The following is a 25,858-nucleotide window of genomic DNA, read 5'->3' on the forward strand; positions in this document are numbered from 1 at the left end:
GCCGCCGTGGACTCCTCCCTCGTTCTTGAAATTCTCTGACTCTGGGTTCTGTGACACTAGTGTGTCCTGTAGTATGTATGATGTAGTGCAAAGACACCATAGAGCTGGACAGATATAGTTTCAAATCCTAGCTCCTGAATTTGAATCTCTGATAACATCTTAGGCAAGTTGCCCTCTCTGAACCTGTTTCACCATCTACAAAATAGAGATAATAGTCCATATTTCAAAAGGTTGTTGTACTCCTCGAATGAGATGATGACTGTGAAGTGTCCAGGACAGACTTACGTCCGTGTTCTTCTTCCACCCCTACCTTTCCTAACCTCTATGACTGCTCCCTCCAGTCTTGTTCCTGGGCTCCTTTTCTTGCATGAGCCCCTTAGGGTTTCCCAGAGCTGACATCTCTTACATCTCTATCTTCTCTTCACAGCTCCCTCCTGAGTTAGAGACCCACACTTACAGCTGCCCACTAGATTCAATTCAATTCAACATTTATTAGATACCTATCGTGTGAGAATGCCACTGGCCCCCATGCCTGCCTTCAAGGACTTGGAATCCTGTAGAGTTTTACCCAATGGCCCCAGTTTCTTCTGTGAAGTTGGAATTGAGGTCATCTGCTAAGAGTGGTGGGAGTAGGGGATGAATGGGGGACCAGAGAGTGGTAACTGTTAAAAATAGCTATCAGAGAAATGTTTCTCAAATTCCCCCCTCCCTTCTACCTTGTCACTGCCACCCTTATTCAGATCACTGCCATCTCTTGCCTGGACCGTTGCAATCACCTTCTAACTCAGTGGTTTACAAAGTGGGCTGAACGTTGGACTCCCCTAGTTAGGTGGGGCTTTTTAAAAACTCTGAAGCCTGGATCTCTCCCCAGAGATTCTGATATAATTGATCTCAGCATGGCCCAGGAATCAGCATTTTTAAAGCACCCCAGTTAATTCTATTGTGCAGCCAAGGTGAAGAACCACTATTCTGGCCAGGTGCAGTGGTTCATGCCTGTAATCAGCACTTTGGGAAGCCAAGGTGGGTGGATCACCTGAGCTCAGGAGTTCGAGATCAGCCTGGCCCACATGGTGAAAAAACCCATCTCTACTAAAAATACAAAAATTACGCAGGCAGTGGCATGCATCTGTAATGCCAGCTACTTGGGAGGCTGAGACAGGAGAGTCCCTTGAACCTGGCAGGCAGAGGTGCAGTGAGCAGAGATGGCACCATTGCACTCCAGCCTGGGCAACAGAGCAAGACTCCATCTCAAAAAAAAAAAAAAAAAAGAACCACTATTCTGTTTTCCTGCCTCTGTTCTCATCCTCACTAATCTGTTCTCCACAACACATGTGCTCAGGGGGAACCTTATAAAACACAAGTCTGGTGGTGTCGTTCCCTTGCTTGTCTGCCCCTTAGATTGTAAGTTCCTTTAGAAAAGGGACGATACCTGAATCAACTCTATCCCCAGCACATAGCATGGGCCTGGCCTGAATCAACTCTTTATCCCCTGCACATAGCATGGGCCTGGCCTGAATCAACTCTATCCTTAGCACATAGCATGGGCCTGGCCTGAATCAACTCCATCCCCTGCGCATAGCATGGGCCTGGCCTTAGGACATGCTTGGTCAGCACTCCGTGAATAAATGAATGAGTGAGTGAACAAACTGATCAACCAGTAACCAACAAACTGACAGATAGATGTTGGTTCTGTGCCTAGGAATATGTTGGTGAATTATAGCAGTTCACCACTGAACCAGGAGAATAAGGCCAGTTGGGTACCAATCTGGAAGCCTGGGGAAAATGCAGGGAGGGAGGGAGGGAGGGAAGAAGGAGGCAGTGAGAGGTCAGAAAGGCAGAGTTTCCTGAGAGGTGAATTATCAGAGGGACCACCATGGGTCGGGCAAGCACCTCAGCCAGGGAGTAATGGAGTTAGGGAGGAAGGGCCCAGGCAGAGCCAGAGAGAGCCGCAGGAGCCGCTTAATCTGCCCCTAGGAAGTGCAGGCTGGGGACAGCAGGCAGGAAGCAGTGGGCCCATTCCTCAGCGCTAATGCCCCCAGCCTAACACAATTACCCCTTCCTTCTCCCTCAGCCCAGGCAAGGGGGAGGTTGCATGGAGGGCAAGCATGCCCCGCAGCTGGGGAGGGTGGGGGTCATGGCTGGAAATCCAATCAGGAGTTCCACTTTAGTATTAGCCTGAGCTACCCATTTTAGCTGGAGGGGTTTGCATAGATGCTGGGCTAAAGAGATGCTGCTGGAAGATCTGTGAACCACTGCCTTCCCTGCCCCTCCCTGGGTGCCAATGGGACTGGATCTGGAGACTCCCATCCCCGTCCTGCAACCCAGTCCTCCTGCTGCAGTCTTACCTGTCCTCTGAAGCCAGTTTGCTAAGTCTTGAATCCCACCTCATGGCTGGCCCCCACTGCTGCTTCTCACTCCCCACCTCAGCCTCTCGCCCTCCCTCTCTGCTCCACATTGATATAAATGGAGGCTTCGGCTGCCTTTAAATAGTCCGATCTATCAGAGGGGCACACGCTGCCCATAAATCTGCTGGGGCTGATGGCTCCCTAAGTGGACTGATAGGAGCTATTTCCGGCAAGGTGTTCAGTTACTCTGTCCCTCCCATCCCTCCCCCTAGCTTGCCCTTCCCCAGGGGCAGGGACCCTTTTTGTCATCTGGTAATTGGCATTTTTTCACTTGCACTTGGTCCTGCAGAGGGAGTGCAGCGCCCAGCCCAGCCCCTAACTGGATTAGCATTGGCTTTCAGAGAGGGTCCCTCTGGGGTCGACCTTCCAGTTCAAGAGATCAAGATCGAGCTGTTGGTTCAACAAGGAAGGGGGCTGAGGTGGGAGGTGGGTACCCAGGGGAGCCAAGACTAAGTGCGGAGGGAGGGGGTGAATGAAGTCCTCAGCCCCTCTCTGGCTAAGCCTGCCTGTATCCAGCACCCTAGCCTATGGAGCATGGAAGAGACCAGAAGACAGGCTCTGGAGCTGGGGGTCTCCATCCTGGCTGTCAGAGTCCCTCTGGCCCTCCCCGTCAAGGCTGCCTCGGGCTAGCTGTGAGCTTTCCCTTTCTAGAAATGACCTAGGATTGAAAGGGGGATGGAAGTCTGAGACTGGGATGGGGTTTCTCCAGACAAGTGGTATGGATCTGAAACAGAAGCTGGAGAAACCCTAGGGCCAGCTGTTAGACAGTAGGGGGCCTGGTGCAGGAACACACACACATTACCCTAATTTGGAGGGCGGCTGCTAATGGATGGATTTCCCTGAAGGAGAGAAAAAAGACCTCTGGAGGCTGGGACCTGCTGGGGGAGACACAGAAATGCCCTTGGAGGTCACCCCAGTGACCTGTGGTCAAGAGGTCACTATGGCCACTCAGAGATCACCACTAACATAGCTCCATTTCCTATCCCATCCCCCTGTGGTTTTCAGAGGGCAGAAAGCTGAGCCAGCCTCGTTATACCGGCCCAGGCCCTTGCCCCTGCCAAGGACCCCTAGAATAGTCCTGCTAAGGTTCTTGTGTCTAAAGAAGAGGAAAAGCTAGAGATGGTGAAGGGCAGAGAAGAATGGATGGAGAATCACTCCTTTAATGCATCCGTAAGACACTTACCAAGCTTCTCTCCTGAAATCTGAGTTCTTGGGAATGGGACCGAGTGGAGGGGTCAGTGTTCCTTATCAGGGTGCGGGAGGTGGGATGCTCTTGCTCATGGACTCTGGTTAGGGAACCAGGAACAGTACAAACAGAAGACTTGGAAGAGTGTTGTTTTGAGCAAAACAAGACTTGCTTATTACAGTGACCCCATTTCTGACCCAGCTGTTGGGGATTAGAACATAGCAAGAGGGTGAAGGGAGGAGCATGTGATGAGATTCCCAGCTGTGTATGATCCTGGGACAGGGACAAGAGTTGGCCACATAGCCCCCGCCAGAGTCTCAGACCTGAAGGGGACCTTTTCTCCTGCTCCAGGGAAGGGGCTGAGCACTCAGCAGTGACCAACTGAGAAGCCCCGTGAATGACACCAAGAATGCCTGTTGAGGTCATCAACAGCATTTCTCAAGCGATCTTGAGAAGATCGTTTCTCAAGATCAGGAGACTTGGAGAGAGCCTACCCTTACTGGGGCAGGGGTGGGAGGGTAAGGGAAATAGACTGTTTAGCAGCAATCAAGAGAGATTCTGAGGTGGCCACTAAGACCCTAGGGATAGCCTCACACAGCATAAGTCGTTGTTCTCTCTTCCTCCCTTCACTCATTCATTCGCTTGCTCACTCAGTACACTCTGACTGGAGCTCATGGAGCTCACATCTACTAGGGAGAAAGACTTCTGAACAGACATGAAACTCAGTGTACCAGGCGCCATGTGAACCCAGAGGCTGTGCGAGTCCCTGCTGAAAACCTGCCTGGGGAGCCCCATTTCACCCTGCAGCTCCAGACTCCACCCGGACTCCTGGAGGTTCCCATTGACCCTCAGGCTCCTCAGACTCAACTTGTCCAAAGCTGAACTATGTGATCATGCCTCTGACTCTGTTCCCCAGTGAGCATCCCTAACTCAGTGAATGGCACACAGAGAATCAGCGCTGTGTCACCACTGCTGGAATTCTGGTTCCTCCTAGAGTCCCTCTTCTTCAATCTCCACATCCAACTAGAGATCCATCAGAGTGTCCTTTTCAACAATGTAGGTGACACTGTGCCACTCCTCTGCTGAGAATCCTCCAGTAACGAGCCCTCCCAATCAGGGTAAAATCCTTACTGTGGCCACAAGGCCCTGCCAGTTCTGCCTCCCTCAGCCTCCCTGCACTCATCCCCACCTCACTCTGCTCCAGCCACACTGGCCGTGTGGCAGCTCCTCAAACATTCTAATGATATGACTCACATGTATTATCTCACATAGGTATCTGTGCACCGATGCTTGTCTTTCCCACCTGTGACCTTGAGCACCCTGAATTTATCTTAATTCTTGTTGGATAAATTCACCTTTGTAACCCCCATCCCTAGCACAGTGCCTGGCCACATGGTAAATGTTTGTTTAATGTCTGCCAAATAAATGAATGGGCAAATGCCAGCTGGGATATCCCTGAATGAAGAAAGACCCTAGAGAAATGTACTAGTCTAACTCCTTTGCAGGATTTGGAAGGCGTTTCTCTGTAGTCCTTGCCCTCCTGAAGCACTCTCCAGATGCCCAGGCCAGGAATCAGCGGGGATGGAGTTGCGAAGGCAGGAGAGTGGCAGCCTGTTCAGGAGAGGCTGGGACGCGTGCAGAAGGTTGCTTGGGTGGAGTCCGAGCTCCCCCACCAACATGTTGTGTAGCTTAGAACTTATTATCTCTGTGCCCTTTTATTCTTTCATTTATGGGATGGGATGGGGGATTCCATGGGAAGGCTTCGGAGGCTATTCCTCCTTGAATATTCTAGGATGCTACAAAAGATGGTTTGGGTCCAGACAGACTGGGTCTGGGAGCTCAGCAAAGGAGCCTCGCTTTGGTCTTTTTGGCAGTGCAGTTTCTAAGCAGAAAAGTTTGGCTTCAGAACTTGGTCCATTTCAGAACTTAGAGGCAAAAACTTCCTTCCAGCCCTTTAAACAGACCTTGAGGTTTTTGGAAAACTGATGAAGAACAAACACTTCACTTGCGGGCAGTCTGAGGTGTGTGGAAGCTAAAGAGAGGTTGTCTGTGGCAAATGCACTGTCTCCCCAAGGGAGACTTTGGAAAGGTGCTTTTGTCTGTTTTTAGACTAGCCTCTCTCCCCGCCCCACTATCCCCAAAAATTATTATAAAGAATTATTGCCATTAGTACGTCTTTCCTACTGAAAGGAGAAAATCGCCTCATTCATAATTTATACCCTCAATTACTATTAATAAAGAAATATTTCAGCAGAAAATCGCCTGGGAAAATTACACGTAACATTGCATTAACATTCTATTTGAACATTTTCATCACATTTGTTATAGAGTTAATAAGAGGGATACGGTCCCCTGACTTCTTCATGAAATTATGGGCTGACGATGATAGTTTAATCTTTTAGACTTTATATAATATATTCACTTTACTAATTGAGCTATCCAAGGAGCAGTTAGAGATGTTCTTAAATGTGGAGACAGAGGAATCAGGGCCATGACTTTGCTGCCAGAGGCACCGCCTGTCAGGATGGGGCTGTGGGCAAAGCCTGCTGACTTAGGCACCAGCTCAGACCCCACCCTGGCAGAGCCAGGATCTCTACACTACCTGCTGAGAAGCCAGGGTCTGGTGGGAAGGGGTGTGGGGCTGCTGAGGGGGAACAAGGAGGAAGGGAGAAGGAAGGCCATGGGGAGCTGAGAAAAGGAGACAAAAGGGGCATTTCTTTCTAGACCACTCCTTCAATAGTCATTTGTTTAGACGCCCTCTACCCGCATCGTCCTGGGCCCCAGCAGGAGTTCATAGTCTGAAAGGGGTAGCAGGCCTATGATGGTGTTTGGTATTACACTTGGCAGTGGTTCTAGGTGCTGTGAGCTCCTAGAAGATCGGGCACCCTTGGGACCATCCTATGAAGGCCCCTAGAGACAGGTGCCAGAGAAGGCGCTGCCCCTAAAGGCCTTTGCAGCACAAAGGAAGGAGTTGCTGTTTTTCAGGTCCGAATGGAAGCGATGGGTATATATTTTGGGTAATGGGGAGGAGAGCTGAGCGAAGTTCAGACAGTCCAGTCCTTTGTCACTGCTGTAGTGCCTGTGCTTTTCCATCCCTCATCTCAGTGAACAGCAGCAAAGCTGAGAGGCAGATCTAGTGAGGGTGGAGGTCCTGTTCCTGACTCACCTTCCATGACGCCTTTACTGGGGCTTTTCTTACAAACCCCATCCAGCGCTGTCCCTTTCCCTTGTCCACTTTTCTATGACAGTATTCTGGGGGATCTTTGGTAACATTTCTTCTGAAAATTGCTTGTCTTCTTCCCTACTAGAATGTAGCTGTTTGTCCGTTCCATTTGGCGCTGAATGTCCACCACACAGGAGGCACGCCATGTGTTAAGGACTTATGTTGGACTAAGGAAAGTAAAGTACAGAGGGGTCGGATAATGTCCCCGAGACTATGTGGTTAGATCAGAACAGGCTAAAGCCGAAGTCTCCTCCTTTCTATTTCACCTCTGAGTCTTGGCACCTCTTTTTACTTTATTGATCCAATGTATCAGGAATGGGAAGGCATCCAGACTTCTCCCTCCTTCACGCTCATGTCGCGATGCAGGTCACTGTCATCTCACACTTGTGCTATTGCAATCTTCCTGCTTCCTTTCCGGCCCTCCCACGATCTATTCTTTGCACAGCAGCCAAAATAAGCCTTTAAAAGATAAATCAGGCCGAGTGTGGTGTCTCACACCTGTAATCCCAGCACTTTGGAAGGTCAAGGCGGGTAGGTCATTTGAGGCCAGGAGTTCGAGACCAGCCTGGTCAACATGGTAAAACCCTGTCTCTACTAAAAATACAAAAATTAGCTGGGCATGGTGGTGCGCACGTGTAATCCTAGCTACTCAGGAGGCTGAGGCAGGAGAATCGCTTGAACCCAGGAGGCAGAGGTTGCAGTGCACCAAGATCACACCACTGCATTACCACCTGGGTGACAGAGAGAGACTCCATCTGAAGAAAAAAAAAAAAGATAAATCAGATTATATTACTGCTCTGCTCCTAACTTTTCCAGACCTTCCTATCACACAGAATAAAATCCAGTGTCCTCTTCCCAACCTACAAGACCCTACAGTCTGGCCCCTCTTCCATCTGCTCTCTCTACCACGGCCACATTATCCCCATCGTTCCTTGAATACACTGAGTACCTTCCCCATCAGAGCCTTTGAACTTATTTCCTCTACCTGAAACACTCCTCCTTCGCAGATCCTCATGACTCTCTTCTTCATTTCACTCAGATATCTGCTCAAATGTCACTTCTTCAGAGAGGCCTTTCCTGGCCACCTGCTGTCACTCTCAGCATCTCCTTACCCTGCTCATTTTCCTTCATTTTGCGTGTGCCTACCTGACATGCCACTGTGTCTTTATTTGTTGGTTGCCTACTCCAGCAGTAGAAAGTAAGTTCTACATTCACTGTTAGATTTCTAGCTCCTGGAACATGGTAGGTGCTTAATAAATTTCTTGAATAAATGAATGAATGTTTGCTCTGCTTTTGTCTGCACATGTTCTATCAGGGTGATCTCATGATCTTCCATGTAAATGCTACACCATATGCCAGCAGCTTCTAAATCTTAACTTCAATCCAAATCAATCTCCTGAGCTTCCAACTCACTTTCCAGCCACCTACAGGACATCTCCCCATGTGTCGTATGTCTAACACACATATGTCCAAAATGGAACATACCATTTTTCTCCCTTCTTTAGCTCCCATTTCATTAAATGGCACCACAATCTTAAATGCCCATCCAGAAACCTGAGATTATTACCCCTCTTCCTTTCTCAGACCTCCATCTAATCAATCCCTAAATTCCGTTCATCCTACCCTTAAATAGCTCTCAGATCAGTCCACTTCCCTCCATTTCCAAGGCTCCTAGCCTAGTCCAGGCCACATTGCCATCTCTCACCCCAGTGACTGGGACAGCCTCCAGCTGGTCTCCCTGCCTCCGGTCCTTCCTCTACAGGATGTTTTATGGTTAATCTAAAACATAAATCCTGGAGTCAGAGATAATATCCAGGCTTCTAGTTGAGGAATTAGATGATAATGACTCCTCTCACATTAAATGGAAGAGGAGGCAGTCTGGGGACATGTGACATTTGACTACCTTTGTGGCATTTTAAAACATAGCTGTCTCCTCCCACTAGGTGGCAGAAATCATCTCATTCATCTTTATAGCCTCTGTGTCCTCAGCACCCAGCACAGTGCCTGGCACAGAGCAAGTGCTCTTGAATATTTGTTGCATGTGATTGTACCCTGAAATTCACAAGGGAAGGGACTCTTTGAAACCCAGCCTCGATGGCACCCCGCCACTGCTCTTATAATATGCATCATGTGGTTCTGTAATTCCTGTTTACTCATCTGACTCTTCACTAAATGAAAAGCCCCTCTTTCATAATTAAAGCTCAGCACAAAGTGGGTGCTGAATAATGTTTTGTGAAATCAATGACAAAGTGAATCTCTCTCTGTACATTGCAATATCCTATTTACTGTTCCTTCTACCTCCTTCTGATCTGCTGGCCTCTGCAGCAGCAAGACCAGCCATTCTCCCAGGCAGGTCTTCTCTGGCCCAGCCACTTCTCAGCTCTCTCGGTGTCTGTGACTCATTGCCTCAAGAGTAGCTTTTGATATCTGCCATCAGCTGCTGCCGCTAAGGATTCAGGTCATGCTTGTGTCTCTTCTCTTCAATACCAAGTAACCTTTATTGTCTAAGAGAAATGTTTGGCCCTATAATTTTGCACCATTACTCTACTTGGGGAGAGATACCCATGAGGAAGGATGTTGTTCACCAAGTAAACAATGAAGGGAAAGATCCTCCAGGTGGAAATCACGTTGAATGAAATGGATAAAGATGTGGAGACTTGAAAGAGAAGTTCTCGAGGCCCTCAAAGAAGAAAGCACGCAGGAGAACTGAAGAGAAAGACAGGTGCCAGAATGTGGTACAGGGTAGGGGGAGCTTATAATATAATTATAATATGATAATGATATAATATAAATTATATAATTATTATAAGAGTAATAATGGCTATTATTAATTGAATGCCTAAAACCCTAAAACGTCCCAGGCGATGTGCCAGCTGCTTCACATGCATTATCTCATTTACCCTTCACTAGAACACTATGTGTTGGGTGCCAAGGAGTTTGAACTTCTTCTTGTTTATCTTGAGGATAATGGGGATCCATTGAAGGCTTTGAAGGAGAGTTGCATGGTCAGATTTGCCTGGGCCCTGCCCATGGAATGCTGCATCCAGAAAAAAGAGATGTCAGGATCAGGACAGCCCAGGGGTTATGACTGAGCTATCAGTCCATGAGGACACCGGGCTAGAAAGAAGAGAAGAGACCAGAATCTACAGAAGGAAACCTAGCAGTGGGCATCATGGAAAGCAGACCTGGAGTGGAGCAGAGGCCTAAAGGAGGATCAAGAGCAAGCCTGGAAGGAAATCAGGAGAGTTCATATCAGATAGCATGAGTTTAATGAGTTTACATCCACTGACAGTTGGATATAGGGGTCTGATTTCCCAAGAGGGGCTCAAGGATAGAGATAGAAAATTTGGAATTAATAGACTATAGATGGTAGTTGATTTCATGGAAACATGTCTCCAACAGGACAAAAAACTGAGCTTACTAGGCCCTACATCATCTAACCCTTGCTTACCTCTCTGGAATCATCCCTATGTCCTCTTAGAGTTATTTTCCCTCTGGTCATACTGTAATATTCAGGGCTGGGCGTGGTGGCTCACCCCTGTAATGCCAGCACTTTGGGAGCCCAAGGTGGGTGGATTGCTTGAGCCCAGGAGTTCGAGACCAGCCTGGGCAACACGGCACAACCCCATCTCTACAAAAAATACCAAAAAATATGAGCTGGGCGTGGTGGTGCACACCTGTAGTCTCAGCTACTCAGGAGGCTGAGGTGGGAGCATCACCTGAGCCCAGGGAGATGGAGGCTGTCATGCCACTGGACTCCAGCCTGAGCAACAGAGTGAGACCCTTGTCCTAAATAAATGAATGAATGGATGGATGAGTGAATGAACGAATGAATGAATGAACGAATGAATGAATAAATAAATAAGAAAATAAAAAATAGTGTAATACTCACATTTCCCCAGCTGGGCCATGCTCTTCCTCCTATAGCCCTTGCCCTCTGGAGTGCCTTTTCCTAAACTCTCCCCTCTGTTTGGAATGACCTCTGCCCTATCCCACTTCACTTGGCTAACTCTTACTTGTCCTTCAGGTCATATTTTTAAATTAAGCTTTAAATTTCTTACCATTGAGAAAGTCCAGAACACATGTTTATCCTGTGCTTCCTGCAACTCATGAGTATACTTTCTTACACTGTTCTGTGCTCCAGTTTAAGAAGACTGGGTAACATAGAAAAAGCCTCTCAGGGCTTCACTGTGAATCTTTAATACATTTACTTAGAGAAGCCAGACCCAGACAGTTCACCAGCCCCAAAGCCCAAGAGCCTAAAGCCTGGCCCTTCAGTGCTATTTTGTGAGGGTAAAGGAGTAAGAGAGAGCACCCAGGTCAGCCTGCCCCTGCACTGCCATTAGGGATTCTGCACGTTCATTCCTCCTTTGTTTAATAAGCACATTTGTTTGCTGTGTCTTAGATGTCACTGCCTTTGAGAAGCCTTCCCTGACCTCCAGCCCGGGGTGGGGTGATTCCTCTGTGCTTCCTCAGCCGCCTGTGCTAACCCCTATGGGATTGTTGCTTTTGCTGTGGTTTTGTTGTTGTTGTTGTTTTGCATTTGTGTTTTTTTTTTATTTTTTATTGACTCATAATATTTGTACATATTTACAGATCACATATGACATTTTGTTACATGCATAGAATGTGCAATTACCAAATCAGGGTATTTAGGGTTTCCATCACCTCGAGTATTTGTCATTTCTACGTACTGGAAACATTTCAAGTCCTCTCTTCTAACTATTTTGAAATATACATCATTGTTAACTATAGTCATCCTACTCTGCTATCAAACATTAGAACTTATTCCTTCCATTAGAACTTATTCCTTCCATCTAACTGTATTATTGTACCCATTAACCAACCTCTCTTCATCACACGCACTCCCTGCCCAGCCTCTGGTAACTATCACTCTGTTCTCTACCTCCATGAGATCAACTTTTTTAGCTCCCACATATCAGTGAGAACATGCAGTATTGGTCTTTCTGTGCCTGGTTTATTTCACTTAAACAATGATCTTCACTTCCATCCATGTTGCTGAAAATGACAGGATTTCATTTTTTTAATGGCTAAATAATATACCACATTTTCTTTATCCATTCATCTGTTGGTGGGCACTCAGGTTGACTCTGTATCTTTGCTGTTGTGATTAGTGCTGCAATAAACATGGGAGTCAAGTACGGTGGGCAAAGGACATGAACAGACATTTCTCAAAATAAGACATACAAATGGCCAACAGGTACATGAAAAAATGCTGAGCATCACTAATCACCAGGGAAATGCAAACCAAAACCACAATGAGATACCATCTTACCCAGTTAGAATGGCTATTATTAAAAAGACAAAAAGTAACAGATGCTGGCAAGAATGCGAAGAAAAGGGAACTCTTATACACAGTTGGTGGGAATGTAAATTAGTACAGACGTTATGGAAAACGATATGGAGATTCTCAAAAAACTGAAAATAGAACTACCTTGCAATTCAACAATCCCACTACTGGGTATTTATCCAAAGGGAAGAAATCAGTATATCAAAGGGATCACTGTGCTTTTTATTGCCTGCTCTCCCACTAGTCTGCAAGCTTCTTAAGAAACATTTGTTTAATAAATGAAATAATTGTGTCCCACTGTGTGACATGCTCCATAATGGGCCCTGGGACCACCAGGTTGACGAGGACATGGTCCCTGCCCTTGAGCAACTGCCAGTCTAGCCACTTGATCCTCATCCGTAGAGATCACTTGGGTGATCTACCACTTCACTCAGGTGAACTACCATAGATCACTTCATCAGAGCAACAAATTCCACTTGGGTGAACTACCATAGATCACTTGGGTGAACTAGCATACATTACTTCATCAGAGCAACAAATGCTTTCCAAGTCTGTGCATACACATAATTTTCTTTGATCCTTATAGCAGTTTCTGGGGGATAGTGGTAGATAAGGCAGAGATTAGTTCCCAGACCTTAGCTACCAGGGAGAATAGGGGGTGGCCAGGAGGAGTGAACTTTGTTGGTGAACTTTGTTGTCACAAGTTCACCACTTGAAAGAACAGAGATGGAAGCCATGGGATTCCAGCAGTTCTCCTTTCTCTGGGGCTCCTAAGGGCAGAAGTTTGGCTGCGGGACCAGATCTTACACTGTTTTCATTCCATCTTGAGGCTGATGCCTTCCCTGGCCTTTGGGCATGTAGGATTCCCTCCCAATTCTAGTGCCCCCAGCCTAAGACTGGGGAGCCCTGGGCAAGGAGAAGCCAGTGGCTGGGCTGTGACTGAAGCTCCCCAGCCCAGCCAGGACAGGATGGGCCCCAGTGTAAACCGGATTTGCCTTGTAAACAGCTGAGCAGCTGGGCTCCATCTTGGCAGGGGAGCCCAGCAACAACCCAGCAGGACAGCCCCAGCCCAGCAGGGCATTGTCCAAAGAAAAAGGGGGGAAAAAAGCTGAGTAAACAAAGAGGGATGGCCAGTTTTTTCGTCTCTGACTTGTTATTTCAGCCGGACAATTGCTGTGCTGACTGTGGGTCTGGTTGGGCTGGGCCAAGCTGAAGTCTCAATGATCTTCCTCACCTCATCTCCTCTCTTCTCACCTCAGCTCAACTCACTTTGCCTTCTCTACTCTAGGCTCACTTCTGGGAAAGGGGTCAAAGACGGAAACTGCAGACAAGTGGGGACAGGCTCCAGGAGCCGACAGGAGGGTAAGGAATTGAGCATTTGCCAAGTATATATAGAGGTATATCCAAGGTCTTGTTAGAACACAGAGCAGAGGCTGATACAGCAGATTCAAATAGTCAAGACAGTCTGTCCAACATTGGCTCAGATAGCCCCACTCTGGCTCTCATAGGAAAGTTCACTCTACATTCCAATAATCTTGATACCAAAGTTACATGTGAAACCCTAGGACTGTCTTCCTATCAGGTTTCACATCCAAGCCATCTTCGGCCACTGCCCAAGTACAAGCCCCTGCAGCCTTCTCCAGTATTTTCAGCCCCAAACTGCAGTGCACCCCCTCTTACCCGCTGCCACCTCTCCTCCCAGCTTCTCCCCTCTCCCCACTGCCACCTCTCCTCCCAGCTTCTCCCTTCTCCCCACTGCCACCTCTCCTCCCAGCTTTTCCCTTCTGCCATCTAAAGCAGATTCTCAGCTCTTGACCACCTCAACCTTAGTGCCCTTTATCACCACTTTATGTGTCCATCCCTGATCCTATGCCATTCATTCATTTGACACATATTTAATAGGCATCTACTCTGTGTTCTCAACACTTGAAATAGTGACGAACAAAACCCTGTTACCAAGGAGCTTTTGCTTTAGAAGTGGGAAACAGACAATGAAAAGATACAAGATACTTAAGGGAGTGATCAGTACCACAAAGGAAATAAACAGCGTGGTAAAATACTGGGGACAATGGCTCACGCCTATAATCCCAGCACTGTGGGAGGCCGAGGCGGGTGGATCACTTGAGGTCAGGAGTTTGAGACCCACCTGGCCAACATGGTGAAACCCCATCTCTACTAAAAATACAAAAATTAGTTGGGCGTGTCAAATGCCTTTTTTTTTTTTTTTTGAGAAAGGGTCTCACCCTATCCCCCAGGCTGGAGTGCAATGGCATGATCACAGCTCACTGCAGCCTTGACCTTCTGGGCTCAAGTGATCCTCTTACCTCAGCCTCCAGTCCCAGCTAATTTTTAGATTTTTTGTAGAGACAGGGCCTCACCATGTTGTCCAGGCTGGTCTTGAATTCCTGGGCTCAAACAACCCTCCCACCTCAGCCTCCCAAAGTGGCTCAGATGATGGGTAGAATCTTCCAACCAGATGAATGCAACTGGGATTTTCTTTCTTTCTTTCTTTCTTTCCTTTTTTTTTTTTTTTTTTTGTTGAGACAGAGTCGTGCTCTGTCTCCCAGCCTGGAGTGCAGTGGTGCAATCTTGGCTCTCTGCAACCTCCACCTGCCGGGTTCAAGCAGTTCTCTGACCTCAGCCTCCCAAGTAGCTGGGATTACAGGCGTGGGCCACCATGCCCAGCTCATTTTTTGTATTTCTAGTAGAGATGGGGTTTCACCATGTTGGCCAGGCTGGTCTTGAACTCTGGCCTCAAGTGATCCTCCCAAAGTGCTGGGATTACAGGCATGAGCTACCGCGCCTGGCCAGTGGGATAAGTATTTCAATTTGAGTCCATGCCAAGGGAAGGAAGGCTAAGCTGAAGAGAAGCTCTGGGGGTTATTTGATAGTAAATTTAGAAGAAAGAAGTCGGCAAGTGCTATGGGCCCCCATGCATCTACTATTATTTGGATCCCAGAACACTTCAGGGGATAGAGAGTTCTGTTCCACTCTGCACTTGTCAGGTAGCGGTAGATCCACCTGGAGGACAATGTCCAGTTTGGGAGAAGAGACACTGATCAACAACTCTAATCACTCCCACAGACCACAGACCCTGATAGTTTGCCAAGAATGACACCTGCCTATGGTTTAGCATCCTTGATCTTCACAAATATCCTGAGAGTGGGATAATAACAGTAGCTAATATTTATTGAGTGCTCACAGTGTGCCCAACATTCTTTATTCTGTTTTCCACACAGAAAATCATGCAATCCTCAGGCCGGGTGCGGTGGCTCACGCCTGTAATCCCAGCACTTTGGGAGGCCGAGGCGGGTGGATCACGAGGTCAGGAGATTGAGACCATCCTGGCTAATACAGCGAAACCCCAACTCTACTAAAAATACAAAAAAATTACAGGCAGGCGCCTGTAATCCCAGCTACTCGGGAGGCTGAGGGAGGGGAATCACTTGAACCCAGGAGGCAGTGGTTGTAGTGAGCCGAGATCACGCCACTGCACTCCAGTCTGGGTGACAGATCGAGACTCTGTCTCAGAAAAAAAAAAAAGAAAAAGAAAGAAAGAAAATCATGCAATCTTCATAACAACCAAGAGATGGGTAGACTAACTGCATATTTCAAATGAAGAAGCAGGCAGAGGGGCTTAAGTAACTTGACCAAGACCACACAGTCACTGAGCAGTAGGACCAAGACTCAGACCCAGACTACCGAGGAGTCTGAGCAAAGAAAGGACAGGGAGGCTTGATGGAAATCAACACTAGTTGCTTTACTAAGTGCTAGTGTGCTGCATCTTAATCTCTCCCTAGACTTGGACCCCCAGTCTGAGCTTTGACTCTTGAGTTCTGGCGCTGTGGGGCCTAAGAACAGGGTGGCTCCATCACTGGGGCAAGCAGCCTCTTACATGTGAGCCTGTTTGTCTAAGGGCAAGAATGGGGAAAACTGTGTACTTGAAGCTATTTGCTAGGACTTTGGGACAGTTGGTTCTGGACACTCATCCGAGACAACCAGCTATTTGTGGATATTGTTTATTCTTTCTGCTCCTCTCCTCATACTGTGACTTCTGCTGACCTCCTCTGCTTAAGTAAGTCCCCACTGAGGTCCTGACCTATCTTTGGACCATGTCCTGAAGAAGTTGTTCCAGGCCAGGCATGGTGGCTCAAGCCTTCGGGAGGCTGAGGTGGGTAGATTGCTTGAGTCCAGGAGTTTGAGACCAGCCTGGGCAACATGGTGAGAATCCATCTCTATAAAAAATACCAAAAAATTAGCCAGGTGTGGTGGCGTGCATCTGTAGTCCCAGCTACTGGGAGGCTAAGGTGAGAGGATCACTTGAGCCTAGGAGGCAGAGGTTGCAGTGAGCCATGTCATGCCACTGCACTCCAGCCAGGGCAACAGAGCAAGACCCTGTCTCACAAAAAAAAAAAAAAAAAAAAAAAAAAAGAAAGAAAAGAAAGAAAGAAAGAAAAGAAAAGAAAAAGAAAGAAAGAAAGAAGAAATTGTTCCATGGAGAAGGTTGTCCCTTCATCTAGTGTTAGGATAAAGAAACTGAATCTCAAAAAGATGAAGAAACTTACTCAAATTCCTGTTGCTATTACATAATGAAGCTGGGATTTTGAACCTTGGGCCTCCAACTCCAGATGCTGTGCTTTTTTCCCCTTTTCCCACCATGACAATAGAAAATGGGCCTAATGTTCTCAGCAGAATAGAACTGGAGTGCCTATGGGTCAGGATATTTGAAATCGGGTCATGTTGGAAATCACTGAATGGACTAGAAATGTTCAACTTAGAGAAAAGAAGACTCCAGGGGACATTATTGTTGTTTTTAGATTTCCAAAAGGCTATTGTGTGGGACAGAGATCAAACCTTTTCTGTCTGAGCCCAAGAGTTTAAACACAGACCAGTGGGTGGAACTTCCAGGGAAATAGATTTTAGCTCAAGCTGTGTGTGAACTTTCTAAACAGCCGAAGCTCCCCAGAGCAGCAAAGCCGCCTGAGGATGTCTGGAGCCTCCTGGCCTCGGAGGTGTTTGGGCAGGCCACCTATTAGGAAGATTGTGAAGACAGGCTAGACCATAAGACCCTTTGAGGCTTTATAGAGAACAGTCTGGGGTTCTGGGCTCCAATCCCAGCCTCTCCCAGCCTTCAGAGCTCTGGAAGCTGCTGAGTGCCACACCTGCCACCTGACCTGCTCTGCTGGTTGTGTGTCCCTCCTTCCCAAAGCATCCTCCAGCTTCTCCAGGAGACTGAGGAGTGGACAGTGGCATGCCTAGGGCCTGTGTCCATTCGCTGTGTGGCCGCCTTCTCCAGGCCTTGCTCTTCCCTTGATTTTGAATAGAGCTTCCTAGAGCAGGAAGTGGAGTCAAGGCCATGCCCAGAGCCAGAGTCTGGGCCAGGAGAACTTCATGGGAGAAAGGCTCATCTGTGCTTAAGAGCTGAGGTCTAGGCCAAGCCTTGGCTGAGAGAGAGAGTGTCCGGAAGGACTGCCTGTCTGGTGCTGATCGGGGAAGGTTCATTTGATGACATCTTCATTAGGATTTTCCTCTCATCATACGGACTCTGCACCACACTCACACACATATATAACTATTGGAAAAACGATTTTAATACCCATGGCACATTGTCCTTGTGTGATATAAAATCCAATGACATGTGGCATTTGGAAAAGGTCACTTCTCCCATCAGGATTCATTAGCCTGTTTCAGCCTCTACGCCGGCAGGACAGGTCCCAGCTGCTTGTCCCCTGCAGTGAGGCCAGTTGGACAGGTGGAGCCTACAGGGACCCTCCCTGGAGAGCAAAGGGCCTCCCCAGGGTGCCGGCCAGGGAATCCCTGCTTTGGCCAAGCTCTTTCCCACACATGCCTGGGGAGTAGGGAAGGGTGGTTTCCAGAAAAAATGAAACCTCTGGCCAGGCAACCATGGCTTTCAGGTCTGGAGTGCATGGGAAACGGAAAGTCAGGACCAAACCCTCAGTGTTTTTCCTAAGACGATCATCCTTTGGCAGAGAGGGACCTTTGAGGGACTCTGGAGAGAGAGCTGAGGGACAGGGTGGATGCAAAGAGGAGGCAAAGGACATGAGGGAAGAAAGAGTCCTAGGGGGCTGGGGTGGGCAGGATCCTGGGCCTTCCTCTGGGAACCTGACTGGAACCTGGGATCTGCTGGTGTTCTCTATTCATTCCTCTTTGGCAAAGCTAGGACCCAAGCCTGCTCTTCTTGCTCCATTCTTGTGTTCCTTGTGTGCTGGGGTTTCATCTCTAGGTGTGAAGCAGCTGTGCCCACTAGCCAGGTCAATGGAAATGGACATTTTCTGTCAATGCTGGTGTCAATGTGGCCAAGGGAAGCGCCCACCAGCACCAGCATCTATGCCTCCCTGACTTTCCACATTCGGCCTGGCCAGCACTCACCTTGGGAAGTTACTTCCTTACAGCTAAACGGAGCTGCTTCTCAGATCCTTGGGCTGTTGGTTTGTTTGATGGGAGTCACCAGATCACAGAAGAACTCTAGTTGCAGAGTGGAAGAATGAGGACAGTCAAAGGAAGAGAGAAGACTTTGAAAAAACTAGAGCTGGAAACCAAGAAGCCAGTAAGCTTGGATGAGGGGAACGGGAAAGAGATGCACCCTAAGGCAAAGCCTGAGAAACTGGCAGCCCACAAAAGCAGGGGTCCTGCTCCTGAGCGGCAATGTCCATCCACTCCCACATCCATGCACCCCTCTTATATGTCTGTTCTTGCCGTCCAGTATTTAAAGGATGGGAAAAGAAGGGCCCTCCAGCAAAGAGAATAATGGGTGCCCAGTGATGCAGGAAGAAACAGGGGACTGAGGTACCCAAAGCCAAGTAAAAAATTCAAGAAGAAGCGAGTGGTGCCGGGCGCGGTGGCTCACGCCTGTAATCCCAGCACGTTGGGAGGCCGAGGCAGGTGGATCACTTGAGGTTAGGAGTTTGAGACCAGCCTGGCCAATATGGTGAAACCCCATCTCTACTAAAAATACAAAAATTAGCTGGGCGTGGTGGCAGGCGCCTCTAATCCCAGCTACTCAGGAGGCTGAGGCAGGAGAATTGATTGAATCCGGAAGGCGGAGGTTGCAGTGAGCAAAGATCGCGTTACTGCACTCCAGCCTGGCCAACATAGTGAGACTACATCTCAAAAAAAAAAAAAAAAAGGCACTTTGGGAGGCCGAGGCGGGTGGATCACCTGAGGTCAGGAGTTCGAGATCAGCCTGGCCAACATAGTGAAACCCCATCTCTACTAAAAATACCAAAAATTAGCCTGTAATCCCAGCTATTCAGGAGGCTGAGACAGGAGAATCGCTTGAACCCGGGAGGTGGAGGTTGCAGTGAGTCGAGATCACGCCATTGCCCTCCAGCCTGGGCAACAAGAGCAAAACTCCATTTCCAAAAAAGAAGAAGAAGAAGGGAGTGATCTACTGAGCTCAAGTCACTGTCCGTGGAGTCCGGTGAGGATTACTGAGACTTAACCATCAGAACTGGCAAAAAGGGAACGCTTGTCAATCCCAGCCAGAGCGCTTTCAAGACAATATGAGAGGGGAAAAAGAGAAAATGATGAATATCAGTTTCTCTTTTGAATTTTGCTTCCAGAAGCAGATATATATATATATATACTTATACAAAGATTCATTATTCATGTGAGAAACATTTATTGAGGCTCTAATCTCTGCAGGTTCTATTCTAGGCTCCGTGTACCCAGAAGTAAGCAGCACAGTCCTTGCCCTTGGCTTCTCGCAAAGTAATCAGTGAATGAATGGGATGAAGCCTCACTTCTCCCACTGACAATTTTAGCTTCATTTTCATAGCTGTTCAAACAGATACTAGAAATCTGTGCCCTCTCTGTTTATGAAGTTCAGCATGTCCCAGCTTTTCTAACCTGTCCCTATTCCAAATGTTTTGACCTATTGCCATACCATGTAGTCACACTGGATTCTAATTTTTGATTTAGAAAATGTGGTCATTACTGGATTATTTCGAGAATCAAAAGAATCAAAGAACATCACTTCTGTGATGTGCTAAGTGCTCTATCAGTAGAAGGCATTATTCAAAACTGGCTTAGACTAGAGAGGCAGGTTCAGCCACTTCTTTCTTTGTGCATTCAGGGTAACCTGTACGTCCTTCCTTCCCAGCACCAATCTCCTTTCTTTTTAATGTGTTTTAAGGTATGTGCCTCTCATTCCAAATTGTATCTGACACAGGGCCTGGCACGCAGTCTAATTTCTCAGTAAAGATTTATTGAATTTCTGAATGGATGGATAAATGGTGGGGGCATAGACAAGTAGACAGCAAATTATGATTTAAGACAGAATGAAATGATAATTACCACCACTAACATTTTTTGAGGACTTACTATATACAAATCCAATGCTAGTTCCTTTACATGCATTCTCTCACATCATTCTCACAGCTACAACATGAGGTACATAGCATCGTGTCTCTTCCAGATGAGGAAACAGAGGCTCAGAGAGGTTAAATGACTTGCCCAAGACACCAAGGTCACCTGAAGACCTGGGAACTCCAGCTCGAGCAGCCCAGGCTGCTCACCCTGACCTAGCCAGAGGGTTACAGGAAATGTCCTTTGGCCCTTAGATTGTCCCTCCTTTGGTCCACTCAATTCAGAACCCAGACAATTGGCCATGAACCCACCACTTACGTCTTCACCCCTCCTTCATCAGGGCGGGTCAAGCTAGTCCAACCCTAGCAGCCGCTAGGAAGGAGCTGTCCAGAGCGTGGTTCATTCCTCTTTTATAGCCCTTGTCAAATTCCAAAGCAAGTCGTAAATTCATTAACCTCGTAGGGATTAAGCTGTGCAGCTTACTTAGCACCATAAACAAGATCATTGGGATGTTGATTTTCCCCTTTTATTGCTGCACTCAGGAAAGCCTAGCTGGCTCCAGCTCTGGAAATAGGAGTTGGCTCCCCTGAAGGTTGTCAGGATGGTGGGGAAACCCTAGCTGGCTGTCCCTCAGTAGTTGCAGGTACTGGAACGTGGGGCTCAGGTATATGTAGCCCAAGAATTGCTCCCCAAGCTTGTCTTGGCACAGCCAGAAGTAACATTTCTTTTTGTTTTTTGTTTGTTTGTTTGCTTTTTTCTTTTGAGACTGAGTCTCACTCTGTCGCCTAGGCTGGAGTGCAGTGGCGCCATCTCAGCTCGCTGCAACCTCTGCCTCCCAGGTTCAAGTGATTCTCCTGCCTCAGCCTCCCAAATAGCTGGGATTGCAGGTGCCTGCCGCCACGCCTGGCTACTTTTTGTATTTTTAGTAGAGACGGGGTTTCACCATGTTGGCCAGGCTGGTCTCGAACTCCTGACCTCAAGTGATCTGCCCACTTCCGCCTCCCAAAGTGCTGGGATTACAGGCGTGAGCCACCACGCCCAGCCCAGAAGTAGCATTTCTAATCCAGTTGCCTGAGCTGTCACCATGCATCCTAGGGAAAGGCAGAGGAGAGAAGCCCAAATGTCTACCCACCAGGTCACCTGGCTCTCCTGACAAAGATGGTATTAAGATGTCATCTCCCGTCTCCTGACTCCCCAGGCCCCGTGGGTTTCCTCTAGTGCCTCTCGTCCCCAGGTCTGTTTAACCCATCTATCTCTCCAGTAGACTAATGTCCCTCACTAGCAGGAACTGTTCCCTCTGCTAGCACTTGGGATCCCATTTCCTCATGTCCGTCTGAAGCCTGGCTCCAGCAGTGATCCTCTGTCCTGGAGCTCCAACTCTCTTTCATACACCAAAAAGAAAATCCAGACCCTGTGCTTCCTAAGACAACGGCAATCCCTCTCTCTCCTCCCTCCAACTTCTGGAACAGTGTCATGCCTGACATCTGTCTGCACTGCTTCCCTCCCATTCACTCCGTTAACCATGGCTGTTCTACCTAAGTCCCTACCTCTCCCTTGACCCTGCTTTTGCCAAGGTCAGCAACAACTTCAAACTATCAAATCCAATAGATGCATTTCAGTCATTTGTTTGTCATCTCTTACTCAGCAGATATTTAGTGGGATCCTAGGGGCTGGTGACACAAGAGTGAGCAAAACAGAACAAAGCAGAGACCACGAGAAGTTAAATATAGCACAGTGACCATAAGCACAGCCTCCACCTAGGTTCATACCTTGGCTCTGCTGTGTGACCTTGGGCAAGTTCCTTAACCTCTCTCTTTTTCTCATCTCTAAAATGGGATAATCATAGCACCGTTGGGAAGATTGTTGTGAGATTGTCTGACCTTTAGGTCAGAGCATGGTGCACAGCAGGTGCTCTGGCTATGTTTGGTTTAGGTAATTTGCCTAACATTATACCCTGGCAAGCAGCAGACCAGGCTGTAGACCCGAATCTACCTGACTCCAAAACCTTCACTCTCTGTTGTCATCAGGCTGCCTCCCTGTTCTTCCTGCCTCCCACCTCCACCCCCATTGCCCTGTGCTATTTGGGCTTTGCATAGGGTAGTTACCTGGAAAACATTTGTTTAATGTAATAATTTAATCAGTAGTTCTGTGTTTGGGGAGTCTAGGTAGTTATTTAATGGGAAGAAATGAGGTGGTGGAAAGGGAGCTGTTTTGAAGAGAAGATAATTATTTCTGACTTAACATGTTTCACTGGAGGTGACAATGGAGAGTCCAAATGGACATGTCCTTTGGGCAGTTGACAATTCGGTGTGGGCATTCAGGAGAGACATCAAATTGGAGGCAGGTTTGGGAGTCCTGGAAAGTTGACGTTCAAGAGGGTAAAAAGATAAATTCTCTAAGAGCAAAGGGCACAGCAGTGACAAGGTCCCCGGATCAGGTCAGTGGAAGAGGCATGAGGGACAAGGTAAGGATAGAGGGTGGTGTGGAAAGGAGGACAGGAGCGCTGAGGAAGAGCCCCAGATGCCTGAGGAGGGGGTCACAGCTCCAGGGACCCAGGGAGCTGCTGCGGATGACACCAGGACAGCGATAAGAGCTCCATCCCAGACGGTGGGGAAGGAAATGAGGCGACAGGCACAGGTCCTTGTTCCAGGAGGCAGACTAGAAGACAGAAGAAAGGAAGGAGATAGAGGAAGCGGCAAGGTCCAGGGAAGGGTTGGCCCTTTTAGGAGACAGTTACACACAACGTAGAAGACAGAGGAGAAAGGACCGCTCTCGTGGCAAAAATGCAAGAGCGAGAGGAATATCGCAAGGGCAAGGTCCCTGCTGAGGATGGAGAGAAGTGGCTCTAAGGGACAGTAGGCACTGGTTTTGGAGAAAAGACAAAAGTTCTGAAAATTGAGGGAAGATGGAAAATCAAGTGGAGGCAATGGATATTAAGCTGAAGAGAGAAGTGGCTAACTCCTTTTACATGGGGTTCTCAGTAACCGCATCATAACAATGATAATTAAAAGTTTATATATGAAATATTGTCCCCCTCCAGTCTCTACCGGAGACACCTCAACTGCCCTTGGATGGGCAGTTGATCCCTTAACAACATGGGCAAATTCCCCCTAATTCCCAGTTCCTTCTGTTTTTTTTAAAGTTGGTGCAGTTTGAAATTCCACTATTGTATCTTCTTCTCTTCTTCTTCCTTTTTTTTTTTTTTTTTTTTGAGACGGAGTCTTGTTCTGTCACCCAAGCTAGAGTGCAGTGGCACAATCTCGGCTCACGGCAACCTCTGCCTCCCAGGTTCAAGTCATTCTCCTGCCTCAGCCTCCCTACTAGCTGGGATTACAGGCACCCGCCACCACGCCTGGCTAATTTTTATATTTTTAGTGAAGACAGGTTTCACCATGTTGGCCAGGCTGGTCTCAAACTCCTGACCTCAGGTGATCTGCCCACCTCAGCCTCCCAAATTGCTGGGATTACAGGCATGAGCCACCACGCCCGGCCACTGTTGTATCTTCTTTAAGGCATTTTTCCCCTTCTCTTCATCACCTTGTGGCAAGGAGGGGGTGGAAAGAGATGGGGAACATTCCCGCCCCCTCTGTGCTGGCCTCGGCTCCTTTGACAGGGAAGAGGGAGGGGGTGGAATGGTCTCTCTTGCCCCGCAGGCTGCTGTAGTCTAGCTCTCTGGTGGTATTAGTTTCCCTGGCCAACAGACAGGCATCAGGGTTCTCTGTAGGGCTGGTTCTCTTCTAGGGCACATGTGTTCCGATAACTTAACCTGCTTGAGCCTTTGTTTCCTCTTCTGTAAAATGAGTAGCTCTGGCTTGGACCGGCCTTACAGGGGCAGTGTTAAGGATTAGACAAATGCTTGTAAAGCACCTTAGACACAGTGCTTGCTCCACAAATGAACTCCCATTACCAGATGCGTGCGTGAGATAGCTCCTGGCATGAATGTGCATTTGCGGCTATGTCCAGATGTGTGTGTGTACCTGTGTGTGCAAGGGAGAGTTATGTGTGGGCTGGGGATGGGGCACCCTTGTGAGTCAGCTATTGCCTGTGTCATTGCCTACAGCTGACCCCGAGGCCATAAATCCTGCCTCTGTACCCGCTAGAGTGAACACCTTATAGCCCAAGGTCAGGCCCATGAATCATAAGCGGCGCTGGCAGGAAGCAATCAGGCAGGGCTGGGTAGAGCTGGGCAAGAGAAGGTCCCAGTATTTGGACCACTTGAAGAGGAGCCCTGGGCATATCCTGCAATCCTGATCTCTGGGAGCCGGGCTGTTCTCAGCAGGACGGCAGCTCCCATGGAGGCTCGCTGGCAGGGAGCCCTTCTCTACTTGACCGCATCTCTCCTGCTGGGGCTGCCAAGCGGCAGACCTGCCCTGCCAAGACAGGCCTGTCCTGCATCCCGGGCACCAGCACGGCCAGTAGGCGAGCTGCTCTTCAGGCCTTTCCCTTGGAGGCTTCAGAGTCCTTAGCCCAGCACGCTCAGCCTGGTGGATGTGGAGTAGCCGCCCTCTAAGCCAGATGATTTTATTTCTTCTTTGCCTTTCCAATCTGTCTTGGGGAAAGTGGCCCCAATAAGGCAGTCCTTTCACTCTGAAACCTTTTTATGACTCCAACCATAATTAACTCGAGTAATAAAATTTTTCAAATCCAAATAGATATAATTAACATTTAATGCCCCTGGTTGGTGCTGGTAGCTGGGCCCATTAAGAGCACAGTATTGATTGAGAAGGTGAGCCAGCTGGGCCGACTGCTGGGCCAGGGGGCAGAGGTGGCTGGAGCTTAGGGCTGGCTATGAGCAGGGCCCCAGCACAGGTGTGAGGAGGGTGGCAGGTGACCAAACCCCAACCCTACCTGGGGTTCAGGTCATGACTACCGAGGCTGGGGTGGACTTCTTCCTGCCATCAGTTTCTAGTGGCTCTCCCACCTTCAGACTCTGCCATCTCAGGCCTCTCCTGCCATGAAGTACTTCTCCACCAACCCTCACCCTGCCTGTCATGTGCCTGAGGCCTGCCTCCTCTCCTAGAATTTATCAGGCTTCCCAGGACAAGGCTGTGTCTTCTCTCTGAGGGGCCCCCTGGCTCCAGGGCATGCCCCTTCCCACTATTTCTCCTTTCTGACTTGCCTGCTCAGCTGTGTGCTGCAGGTTGAACTTTAAACCCACTGGTCAGATGAAAAGCCATATCTGTCTTCTAGACATGACTTACACCTCCCACCAAACTTCACTTTCCCCAGGAAGCTATACAGTGAGACAGTGCCAGAAGCATTCATTTGAATCCCAACCCTCCATTTCCCAGCTGTGTGACCTTCGGCAAGTCACCATGTTTCCCTGAGCCCCAGTGTTCTTATCTGTGAAATAGGTATAACAAGAATATCCACCTCCTGGCCGGGCGTGGTGGCTCACGCCTGTA

The 25,858-nt window shown here is 48.3% G+C and overlaps 1 protein-coding gene across 15 annotated transcripts in view, besides 1 other annotated feature; it reads left to right on the forward strand.

Annotated features, from left to right (window-relative positions):
- The window catches only part of RNF220 (ring finger protein 220), a 246,942-nt gene that overhangs the window by 158,719 nt on the left and 62,365 nt on the right, over positions 1 to 25,858 (forward strand). The window lies entirely within an intron of this gene.
- Positions 8,682 to 8,801: a silencer, noted in NCBI's record as "silent region_810". NCBI's record gives its function as "represses an Ori minimal core promoter by ATAC-STARR-seq in GM12878 lymphoblastoid cells {active_cell/tissue: GM12878}" and the evidence as "EXISTENCE:reporter gene assay evidence [ECO:0000049][PMID:35858748]".

Source organism: Homo sapiens, chromosome 1 (genome assembly GCF_000001405.40).
Source record: "Homo sapiens chromosome 1, GRCh38.p14 Primary Assembly".
Lineage (NCBI taxonomy): Eukaryota > Metazoa > Chordata > Mammalia > Primates > Hominidae > Homo > Homo sapiens.